General features: G+C 39.5%; 1 protein-coding gene across 24 annotated transcripts in view; it reads left to right on the forward strand.

The window, feature by feature from the left end:
- The window catches only part of DNAH14 (dynein axonemal heavy chain 14), a 469,633-nt gene that overhangs the window by 200,291 nt on the left and 256,557 nt on the right, over positions 1 to 12,785 (forward strand). For 23 of the 24 annotated variants that reach the window (XM_011544062.3, XM_011544067.3, XM_017000296.2 and 20 more), the window contains one exon: positions 10,824 to 11,077. The exons of the other annotated variant lie outside the window; for it this stretch is intronic. In XM_011544062.3, coding sequence (XP_011542364.1) covers positions 10,824 to 11,077 — 254 coding nt within the window. The remainder of the gene's footprint in view (positions 1 to 10,823; positions 11,078 to 12,785) is intronic. 24 annotated transcript variants of the gene reach the window in all.

A 12,785-nucleotide genomic window follows, 5' to 3' on the forward strand; every position in this document is an offset into this window, starting at 1 on the left:
CTACAATGAACTCAAACAAATTTACAAGAAAAAAACAAACAACCCCATCAAAAAGTGGGCAAGGGATATGAACAGACACTTCTCAAAAGAAGACATTTATGCAGCCAAAAGACACATGAAAAAATGCTCACCATCACTGACCATCAAAGAAATGCAAATCAAAACCACAATGAGATACCATCTCACACCAGTTAGAATGGCAATCATTAAAAAGTCAGGAAACAACAGGTGCTAGAGAGGATGTGGAGAAATAGGAACACTTTTACACTGTTGGTGGGACTGTAAACTAGTTCAATCATTGTGGAAGTCAGTGTGGCAATTCCTCAGAGATCTCGAACTAGAAATACCATTTGACCCAGCCATCCCATTACTGGGTATATACCCAAAGGACTATAAATCATGCTGCTATAAAGACACATACACACGTATGTTTATTGTGGCACTAGTCACAATAGCAAAGACTTGGAACCAACCCAAATGTCCAACAATGATAGACCGAATTAAGAAAATGTGGCACATATACACCATGGAATACTATGCAGGCATAAAAAATGATGAGTTCATGCCCTTTGTAGGGACATGGATGAAAATTGGAAATCATCATTCTCAGTAAAATATCGCAAGGATAAAAAACCAAACACTGCCTGTTCTCACTCATAGATGGGAATTGAACAATGAGAACACATGGACACAGGAAGGGGAGCATCACACTCTGGGGACTGTTGTGGGGTGGGGGGAGGGGGGAGGGATAGCATTAGGAGATATACCTAATGCTAAATGACGAGTTAATGGGTGCAGCACACCAGCATGGCACATGTATACATATGTAACTAACCTGCACATTGTGCACATGTACCCTAAAACTTAAAGTATAATAATAATAATAATAAAATAAAATAAAAAAAGGAAAAAATGCAATATCTGTGAAGTACAATAAAATGAAGCACAATACAACAAGGTATGCCTGTATAAGTATTTAGTTTGTGGCTACATTGCCAAGAAAGAAATGATTTGGAAAATAAATCATTATGAAGGGTACTGGTGTCTGTAGCTTACTTTGAAATGCATAAGATGGGTAGATGTATAGATTCATGGCAAATATAGCAAAAAGTTAATTGTAGAATGTAGGTGGTGAATATATAAGTATTCATTGTATAATTCCTTCAACTTCACTATAGTTTTGAAAATCTTTATAATTTTGAATGAAAGTAGAACTATTTTCTTAAAGATGTCACTATATTGTATTGCATTAGTTTTCTACTGCTGTTATTAAAAAGTTACTAAAAACTTGGTGCCTTAAAACAACACAGCTTTATTATTTTACAATTCAGTAGGTTAGAAGGCCAACCCACAGGTCTCTGTGGGCTAAGATCAAGGTGTCAGCAAAGCTGTGTTCCTTTCTAGAGGCTCTTGGGGAAAATCTGTTTCTTTGCCTTTTCAGCTTCTGGAGGCCATTGGCATTCCTTGGCTCACAGCCCATTCCTCCATTTTCAAAGTCAGCAATGTGCATCTTTCTGACTATTCTTCAGTAGTCCTAGCTCTCTCTGCTCACAGGCAGAAAAAGCTACCCAGTTTTATGATTACATGTGTTTTCTGGATACATTTGACCCACCCAGATAATCCAGAATAATCTCTCTAGCTCAATTTTCTTAATTCAATTCCATCTGAAAAGTCCTTTTTGCCATTTAAGGTGACATATTCACAGGTTCTGGGAATTAGGAAATGAATATCTTTGTAGAGAGCCATTATTCTGCCTACTACATGCATATTTGCTAGAGCTAATTATTGTTTTTCTGGGTCTCATAAGAGAGAGGGAAAACTAGGAAGTTGTGATGTCAATAAAACAAAAATTGGCAGTTCTTTTGAGAAGTGTGGTTGGAGCCAGGGGAGTGATAAAATTTCCCCTAACAGCATGTGTAGAATAAGAGAAGAGGGACAAGGAAAGACTCCAAGAAACATGAACAGCTAAGGAATAGGCAAAAGAAAAGGACTGAAAAAGAGTGGCCAAAACAGAAAAGAAATTTATAAGAGTTTCCATGGAAGAAGCTAAAGAGGAAGAAAGGTAGGTTTTTGTTTGTTTCTTTGATTTTTCTCCAGAAAAACTGAGTAATCATTTAAAAAAGTGAGTGGTCATCATTTTTAAAGACTCTACAGAGATCGGTAAACTATATTATATCTGTCAACAGTGGTTTTCTGGAGTGATGAAGATAGAAGCCATATTGCCAGGAGGTACCATTATCAAGTTGTTGTTTTTTTTTTCATCAACTTTTATTTTAAGTTCAGGGGTACATGTGCAGGATGTTCAGGTTTGTTACATAGGTAAAGGTGTGCCATGCTGGTTTGCTGCACAGATCATCCCGTCACCTAGGTATTAAGCCCAGCACCCATTAGCTGTTCTTCCTGATGCTTTCCCTCCCTCTGCCCCCACAACAGGCCCCAATGTGTGTTGTTCCTGCCACCCCCCACCCCATGTGTCTGTGTGTTCTCATCATTCAGCTCCCATTTATAAGTGAGAAAATATGGTGTTTGGTTTTCTGTTCCTGCATTAGTTTGCTGAGGATAACGACTCCCAGATCCATCCATGTCCCTGCAAAGGACATGATCTCATTCTTTTTATGGCTTTGTAGTATTCCATGATGTATATGTACCACATTTTCTTTATCCACTCTATTATTGATGAGCATTTTTGTTGATTCCATGTCTTTGCTATTGTGAATAGTGCTTCAATGAACATACATGTGTGCATGTATCTTTATAATAGAATGATTTATATTTTTTGAGTACGTACCCAGTAATGGGATTGCTGGATCAAATGGTATTTCTGCCTCTAGGTCTTTGAGGAATCGCCACACTATCTTCCATGATGTTAAACTGATTTACACTCCCACCAGCAGTGTAGCAGCATATAAATGTTCCCTTTTCTCCACAACCTCACCAGCATCTATTTTTTGACTTTTTAACAATAGCCATTCTGATTAGCGTGAGATGGTATCTCATTGTAGTTTTGATTTGCATTTCTCTAACAATTAGTAATGTTGAGGTTTTTTTCAAATGTTTGTTGGGCGCATGTATGTCTTTTTTTTGAGAAGTATCTGTTCATGTCCTTTGCCCACTTTTTAATGGAGTTTTTTTTCTCTTGTAAATGTGTTTAAGTTCCTTGTAAATTCTGGGTATTAGCCCTTTGTCAGATGGAGAGATTGCAAAAATTTTCTCCCATTCTGTAGGTTGTTTGTTCACTCTGATGATAGTTTCTTTTGCTGTGCTGTGCAGAAGCTCTTTAGTTCAGTTAGATCTCATTTGTCAATTTTTGCTTTTGTTGCAATTGCTTTTGGAATTTTTTTCATGAAGTCTTTGCCCATGCCTATATCCTGACTGGTATTGCCTAGATTTTCTTCTAGGGTTTTTATAGTTTTGGTTTTTAGATTTAAGCCTTTATTCCATCTTGAGTTAATTTTCGTATATGGTGTAAGGAAGGGTTCCACTTTCACTTTTCTAGATATGGCTAGCCATTCTCCCAGCACCATTTCTTAAATAGGAAATCCTTTCCCCGTTGCTTGTTTTGATCATGTTTGTGGAAAATCAAATGGCTGTAGGTGTGAGGTTCTATTTCTGGGTTCTCTGTTCTGTTACATTGGTCTATGTGTCTGTTTTTGTACCAGCACCATGCTGTTTTGGTCACTGTAGCCTTGTAGTATAGTTTGAAGTCAAGTAGTGTGATGCCTCCAGATTCGTTCTTTTTGCTTAGTATTGACTTGGCTATTTGGGCTCTTTTTTGGTTCCATATGAATTTTAAAGTAGTTTTTCTAATTCTATGGAGAATGTCAGTGGTAGTTTAATGGGAATAGCATTGAATCTATAAATTACTTTGGGCAGTATGGCCGTTTTTATGATACTGATTCTTCCTATCCATGAGCATGGAATGTTTCTCCATTTGTTTGTATCCTCTCTGATTTCCCTGAGCAGTGGTTTGTAGTTCTCCTTGAAGAGGTCCTTCATTTCCCTTGTTAGCTGTAATTCCTAGGTATTTTATTCTTTTTGTAGCAATTGTGAATGAGAGTTCATTCATGATTTGGCTCTCTGCTTGCTTGGTGGTATATATAGGAATGCTAGCAATTTGGGCACATTGATTTTATATCCTGAGACTTTGCTGAAGTTGCTTATCAGCTTAAGAAGCTTTTGGGCTAAGATGATGGGGTTTTCTAGATAGAGGATCATGCCATGTGCAAATAAAGATAATTTGACCTCCTTTCTTCCTATTTGAATACCCTTTATTTCTTCTTCTTGCCTGATTGCCCTGGCTGGAACTTCGAATACTATGTTGAATAGGAGTGGTGAGAGAGGGCATCCTTGTTTTATGCCAGTTTTCAAAGGGAATGCTTCCAGCTTTTTCCCATTTAGTATGATATTGGCTGTGGCTTTGTCATATATAACTCTTATTATTTTGAGGAATGTTCCTCTAATACCTAATTTATTGAGAGTTTTTAACATGAAGAGATGTTGAATTTTTGCAAAGGCCTTTTCTGTATCTATTGAGATAACGTGGTTTTTGTCTTTAGTTCTCTTTATGTGATGAATGACATTTATTGATTTGCATATGTTGAACCAACCTTGCATTCTGGGTATAAAGCCAACTTGTTTGTGGTGAATAAGGTTTTTGATGTGCTGCTGGATTTGGTTTGCCAGTATTTTATTGAGGATTTTTGCATCAGTGTTCTTCAGGGATATTGACCTGAAGTTTTCTTTTTTTGTTGTATCTCTGCCAGGTTTTGGTATCAGGATGATGCTGGCCTCATAGAATGAGTTAGGAAAGAGTCCTTCCTCTTCAATTTTTTGGAATGGTTTCAGTAGAAATAGTACCAGCTTCTCTTTGTACCTCTGATAGTATTCAGATGTGAATCCATCTGGTCTTGGGATTTTTTTGGTTGGTAGCCTATTTATTACTGCTTCAATTTCACAACTCATTATTGGTCTATTCAGGGATTTGATTTTTTCCTGGTTCAGTCTTGGGACGGTGTATTTGTCCAGGAAATTGTCTATTTCTTGTTTGTATTTCTGTGGGGTCAGTGATGATATCCCCCTTATCATTTCTTATTGTGTTTATTTGATTCTTCTGTCTTTTCATCTTTATTAGCCTAGCAAATGGTGTATCTATTTTTTTTTAACAGCTCCTGGATTTGCTAATTTTTTAAAGGGTTTCCCATGTCTCTATCTCCTTCAACTCTGATCTTGGTTATTTCTTCTCTTCTGCTAGCTTTGGGGTTTGTTTGCTCTTGGTTCTCTAGTCCTTTTAGTTGAGATGTTAGGTTGTTAACTTGAGGTCTCTCTAGCTTTCTGATGTGGGCATTTAGTGCTGTAAATTTCCCTCTTAACACTGCTTTAGCTGTGTCCCAGAGATTCTGGTATGTTGTCTCTTTGTTCTCATGAGTTTGAAAGAACTTCTTAATTTTTGCCTTTATTTTATTATTTACCCAAGAGTCATTCAGGAGCAGGTTGTTCAATTTCTATGTAGTTGTATGGTTTTGAGTGGATTTCTTAATCTTGAGTTCTAATTTGATTGTACTGTGGTCTGAGAGACCATTATGATTTCAGGTCTTCTGCATTTGCAGAGGAGTGTGATCACTTTCTATTATGTGATCCTATTATGTGACCAATTTTAAAGTAAGTGTTGTGTGGCTATGAGAAGAGTCTATATTCTGCTGTTTTGGGGTAAAGAGTTCTATATATGTCTATTAGGTCCATTTAGTCAAGTTCAGGTTCTAAATATCTTTGTTTATTTTCTGTCTCAGTGATCTGTCTAATATTGTCAGAGGGATGTTAAAGTCTCCCACTATTATTGTGTGGGAGACTAAATCTCTTTGTAGGTCTCTAAGAACTTGCTTTCTGAAGCTGGGTCCTCCTGTTTTGGGTGCATATATATTTAGGGTAGTTATCACTTGTTGAATTGAACCCCTCACCATTATGTAATGCCCTTCTTTGTCTTTTTTTATCTTTGTTGGTTTAAAGTCTGCTTTTTAGAAACTAGGGTTGCTACTCCTGCTTTTTTCTGTTTTCCATTTGCTTGGTAAATTTTCCCTTATCCCTTTATTTTGAGCCTATGTGTGTCTTTGCACGTGAGATGGGGCTCTTGAGGACAGTATACTGATGAGGCTTGACTCTTTATCCAGCTTGTCATTCTGTGTCTTTTAATTGGGGGCATTTAGCCTATTTACATTTAAGGTTAGTATTGTTATGTGTAAATTGTATCCTGACATCATGATGCTAGCTAGTTATTTTGCAGACTTGTTTGTGTGGTTGCTTCATAGTGTCACTAGTCTGTGTACATCAGTGTGTTTTGTAGCAGCTGATAATCGTTTTTTCTTTCAATATTTAGTGCTTCTTTCAGGAGCTCTTGCAAGGCGGACCTGGTGACGATGAATTCCCTGAGCATTTGCTTTTCTGAAAAGGATCTTCTTTCACCTTTGCTTATGAAGCTTAGTTTGGCCGGATATGAAATTCTGGACTGGAAATTCTTTTCTTTAAGAAGTTGAATATTGGCCCCCAATCTCTTCTGGCTTTCAGGGTTTCCAATGAGAGGTCCACTATTAGTCTGATGGGTTTTCCCTTGTAGGTGACCTAGCTTTTCTCTCTGGTTGCCTTAATTTTTTCTTTCATTTTGACCATGGAGAATCTCATGATTATGTGTCTCAGAGTTGATGTTCTCATGGAGTATCTTACTGGGGTTCTCTGCAGTTTCTGAATTTGAATGTTGGCCTGTCTTGCTAGGTTGGGGAAGTTCTCCTGGATGATATGCTGAAGTACGTTTTCCAACTTGGTTCCATTCTTCCCATCTGTTTCAGGTACCCCAGTCAGTCGTAGGTTCGTTCTCTTTCCATAATCCCATAATTCTCAGAGGTTTTGTTCATTCCTTATCATTCTTTTTTCATTATTATTTTCTACCTCTCTTATTTCAGAAAGATAGTCTTCAAGCTCTGAGATTCTTTCCTCCACTTGGTCTATTCTGCTATTGATACTTGTGATTGCATTGTGAATTTCTCTTGTGTTTTTCAGCTCCATTAGGTCAGTTATGTTCCTCTCTAAATTGGCTGTTCTGGCTATCAGCTCCTGCATTGTGTTGTTATGATTCTTAGCTTCTTTATATTGGGTTAGCACATGCTCATTTAACTCAGTAAAGTTAGTTATTACCCACCTTCTGAAGCCTTATTTCTGCCAATTCATGTATCTCAGCCTCAGCCCAGTTGTGTTGAAATCAATTGGAAGAGGAGAAGCACACTGGCTTTTTGAGTTTTCAGTGTTTTTGCATTTATTCCTTCTCATCTTTGTGGGCTTATCTACCTTTGATCTTTGAGGTTGCTGACCTTTGAGTGGGGTTTTTGTGGGGTCTTTTTTTGTTGATGTTGTTGTTGTTTTCTGTTTTGTTTTGTTTTGTTTTAAGATAGAGTCTTGCTCTGACACCCAGGCTTGAGTGCAGTGGTGCAATCTCAGCTCACTGCAAACTCCATCTCCCAGGTGCTAGTCATTCTCCTGCCTCAGCCTCCTGAGTAGCTGAGATTACGGGCATGCACCACTACACCCGGCTAATTTTTGTATTTTTAGTAGAGACAGCATTTCACCATGTTGGCCAGGCTGGTCTTGAACTCCTGACCTCAGGTGATCCACCCACCTCAGCCTCCCAGAGTGCTGGGATTACAGGCATGAACCACTGCCTAGCCTCTGTTTGTCTTTCTTTTAACAGGCCACTCTACCATAGGGCTGCTGTGGAGGCTAGGGCCCCCCAGTGGAAGATGTCACCCAGTCAGGAGAAAGAGGATCAGGAACCCACCCAATGAAGCAGTCTGGTTGCTTCTTGGTAGAGCAGGCGTGTTTCACTAGGGGGTGACCCTTCTTTGTAGACCGCCTGTATTTTCCACAGCCAGCCAGGTAGAATGGCTGAGTTTACAGAACCTCAGAGATAGCGCTGCCCCTCACCCGGGGATCTCCCTCCCGGGAAGAGATCTCTGTCCACAGAACTGGAGACCCCCCTAGTGAGGAGGAGTGAGTCGGGCCCCAGTTAAAGAAGCAGTCTGGCCATGATCTGGCAAGGCAGCTGTACTGCACTGTGGGAGGGCCCCTCTTCATCTCCACAGCTGAGACTAGGGAACTGTGGATATGGCAGCTGCCCCTCCCCCTGGGAGTTCTCTGCTAGGGAGAGATCAGAGCTCTGTGGAACCAAGGACCTGCCCAGTGAGAAGTAGTATGTCAGGGCCCTGGTTAAAGAAGCAGCCTGGCCCCAATCTGGCAAGGCCACAGCATTGCACTGTGGGGGGCCCCTCCTTGTCTGGACCATCTGCACTCTTCACAGCCTGCCAGCTGCAACAGCCGTTTCCCCCAAACCGCAGAGATTGCAGCCACTCTCCCCATTGGATCTCAGTCCTATCCCTGGTGGACTTCAGCCCTCTGCCATTGGCTGACTGGGATTCCAAGCCAGTGGGTCTTAACCTGTGAGGTGCCATGGAAGTGAGGCCTACAGAAGGACGCTGCTTGGCTCCCTATAGTCAGCCCCCTTCCTATGGATATGTATGGGCAGATTTTCCACCTTGGTGGGGAACCTGGGGCTGGAGCATGCAAAACTCCTGGGTCACTGTGTGCACCTGAGTGGCTCTTTTGCAGACTCCACACAGCTCTGTGTACTGGACCCACAGCCCTGGTGGCATGGGCTTACAAGGGGATCTCCTGCTCCACAGGTTGCAAAGATTCGTGGGAAAAGCATGGTTTCCCGGGTGGGGTTGCACAGTCACTCACCGCCTCCCCTGGCTGGGGGTGGGGGTTCCTTTGGCTCCATGCTATTCCCCGCTAAGCTGTTGTCCCCCCTCCCCAACCCCACTGCTTCTCCTCACTCTCCTTGAATCCGAGCTGCTTGCCTATTCATTCCCGATGCGAGAACCTGGATATTTCAGTTAAAGGTGTTGAATTCACTTGCCCCTTTTAATTCCTCTCCGTGAGTGTCGTGGACTGCAGCTGCTTCTAATCGGTCATCTTAACCCTCCATAATCAAGTATTTTTAAAGCATACTTGACTTGTAGTTCTCTATTCAATTTAAAATTAACATCATATCCTTTTACTTTGCCTTGACTCACAATTTTCAAGTCTTTGTTAAAATAACCTTGGATTGTGGACACAAGTTATTATTATCAAATCTTCTTTGTCCCTTTTGTTCTCCACTTGACTGAATATTGAAAATATCCACAGATCTTAAGCTGAGGAACTTACCCAAACTGTTCTTTACAAAGGTGACAAAATTATAATGAATCAATCTGCACACTTCTGTAGTTTAACAGGAATTCAAATAATCAAATCTGCTCTCCTAAGATAAGATGTTTCCTGGATCCCTGGTCTTCCAAACATGCTTAATGATAAGCAGCCTGTATTCTGTTTCTAGAAATACTTTATGATAGACTTCAGCTTCAATCATTGAATGTTCTTTTGCCAAAGTTTTTCACACATCTGCCTTACCTACTGCTCATTTTCCATTGATGCAGTTTACAACTCCCCTTTCTCTTGCACTTCTACGTATGTCACATGACTAGGAGTTGTCTCTGAATGGAAGTAAAAAGACACATGGGAGAATGCAGATAATTAGATGTCCGCATGCATTGGCCACTGAAGGAATTTGAACATGGAATTAATAAAGATATAGTAATTAAAAATTCCTTTATAAATAAATAACAAACAGTAATTAAAAACTGGTTCACAATCTCTCTCGCCAGAACCAAGTCCTCCTTTACCCTACACTGATGCAGCCTAGGGAGGGGTCTCCACCTGTTGGATGTTCTCTCCTGAGGCTGCAAATCTTGAATAAATGTCTCAAGGGCAGCAGTACTGGCATCTGACCAGACTCTGCCGTGACATGGCCTTGACTGTGATTCCTCTTGTCTTCCCAGACTCTTGGTCCTGCCCACTTTCTAACCCTCAGTCTCTAGCATCCTTTTGATCTGCTCATCATGAGCTTGCAACATCCTTTAGGAAAGCCAGTTCATTTCTGTTGCATGTAACCAAGAATGCTGTTGATATAACAAGTTTCTCATCCTGTATGCTCCTATCTCGATCTGGAAAAATCTCACTCTGTCTGTTAACTTTATGCTAATTATTCCCACATTCATATCTTGATAGCTCTTATGTTTCTTGAGCACTTCAAATTTAATATATCCCTGAATGAATTCACTGTGCCCCCTTGCCCACGGCATGCTTTTCCTGCAATAGGTACTATCTTAGTGAGTTACTGGAATCACAATTTACCCAATGTAAAGCCCAGAAACCTATAAGCTGTCCTGATGTATCCCCCTCTTTTAACTTCCAGAGTCAATCTGACCTTAATCCAGTAGACTTCTTAAAACATCTCCGTTATGTATGACAAGAGTGGGTGTCAAAAGATGGGCCAAATAACAGAAGTCTGTAAACTTTCTGAAAACTATGACTACATACTCACTGTGTTCTAGGTATATTACTTCTGAGTCCAGCAGAGAAAGCAGCACTAATATATCATCTTGGAGTTTTCCACCATTTTTACTGTCCCCAGGTTATTACTTAAGGTTGCTGGTGTAAGAGTTAGGAAGATTTAAGAATATAAGACTTAGGAAGTACAAATGGATAAGGCCCCCATAAGCATCAATCAGAATTCAATCTTTAGCCCTCAAATACACACAAATGTGTAAGGTCTCTTACACAAACACTTACATACACACCACATAAACTTTATGAAAACATCCATTTTAATTTGAATAAAATTTATGCTTCAATTATATATATATAGAGAGAGATATATATATAACATTATCTTACTTTTTCAGAGCCAGATCATGTTTTATAATGATTGTGTTAAAAGTTTTGTGAGTTCTTATTCAAGAGAAAAATTGGAAAAAGTCCACGCTGGTCTGATGTGTCATCTAGAAGAGGTTGCAGACCTGGTAGTGCTGGATACTAGTAACTCTCGAACAAAAGCTATACTAGGGGCATTGCTTATCCTTTATGTTCACTGCAGAGATATAGTGATAAATTTACTACTTAAAAATATCTTCAATGCAGAGGATTTTGAGTGGACAAGGTAGGTGGATCTAAATTATAACTACATACAATAACTTCTCCCAAATATATCTTTAGGTAAATTGATTCTCTACCTCACACTTTGTCAAACTTGAGTTTTAATTTTGGGGGCTTTACCAAAATTCTAAGCAAACTGTACCAATCTGAGTATATTAGTCCCCCTTTATCTGCAGTTTTGCTTTCCAGTTTCAGTTACTATGGTCAATTGTGGCCCAAAAATAAGTGAGTATATTACAATAAGATATTTAGAGAGACAGATCACATTCACATAACATGTGAATGTGAGTGTATTTTTCTACTGTTCTGTTTTATTATGTCATTGTTTTTCATCTCTTAATGTGCCTCATTTATAAATTAAGCTTTATTATAGTTATTTATGTATAGGAAAAGGCATAGTATGGTATATAGAGGGTCTGGAACTATATGTGGTTTGAACTATACGTATCCTCTGTTTGGGCGGGGGCGGGGGCGGTCCTGAAACATATTCCATGCAGATAAGGGGACATTACTGCACCCTACTACTGCTTTTCCTTCTTTCTCTTTTCTACTGTCCCTCCACCTCATTTTTACTTCTTTCTGCTTTGTCTTCCTGACCTGATTAGGCCCTTTTGATAGTTACATTCTCCCATTTCCATCTAGACAGAGGGCAGTATCTTTCCATGGGCATTCAGAGCTCTACCTCCAGCCTCTTCTTTCCGCTGTGCTGTTAATTCTGGAACAGACTGAGGGGAAACAAACTGAAGAACATTTCCAGCCAGCTCCCTAACTCAAAACTGCCTTCCTCCTACCTGGAGTCAATTAGTAAAATATGAAAGTATAGAAAATTAGGGCCATTCTCACCTTTAGTGAGAAGAGATTGAGTATCAAGCTCTGATAATAAATGTACGGTTAGCATAAATTCTGCAGTTAGCATAAAAGTCCTTATTTTAGGTATGACAGTTTCCTTTAAACTCTAGAAAAATGAAGCAGACAGAGGCTTAAGTATGTAACTGAGGCCACTGTTGACTATATTTTATCTGAATACTTTATATCTGATATATACTCACATGTTCATTAAAGCATAAATGTATACTTTCTTAATTGCCAAAGAGGATATATTGTATTAATGAACCATTACTCTGGAAAAAGTCTAGTGTGTCATTATTACTTTTTATTAACTCTTTTTAAAAATGAGAATGAAAAAGAGGAAGAGCATATATAGAAAGGTAAACTAGAAAAGAGAAGATTCTAATAAGACTCTGTAAGTGTCTATGAGTTTAGGGCTATAGTTCCCAAATTGTGTGTCAAGGTACCCTAAGCCACCATAGAGAATTCACAAGGGCACTGCAAGATATTTTAACCTTTTGAGGGAATCACAGCAATGTACAACATCTATCAGACACCAAACATACTAGCAGCTCAAAATAGTTCCGTTTTAACATCAGATCATGTTACATACCTTTCAGTGACTTCTTATCCTTGCAAAGCTAGGTTTTGGCAGTTGCTCTCATAAAAAGCAAGTATCCCATGAAAATCAATGTAGCAAACACGATTGCAAGTATCCAATCTGATCCCAAGGTTTGGTAAGTGGTGCAGTACACAATAGGCATATCTCATTAAGTAACTGGCTATTTAAAAATGAAATAAGGCCAGGCATGGTGGCTCACACCTGTAATCCCAGCTCTTTGGGAGGGAGGCCGGGTGGATCACTTGAGGTCCAGAGTTGGAGA

This window comes from Homo sapiens, chromosome 1 (assembly GCF_000001405.40).
Source record: "Homo sapiens chromosome 1, GRCh38.p14 Primary Assembly".
NCBI classification, from domain to species: domain Eukaryota; kingdom Metazoa; phylum Chordata; class Mammalia; order Primates; family Hominidae; genus Homo; species Homo sapiens.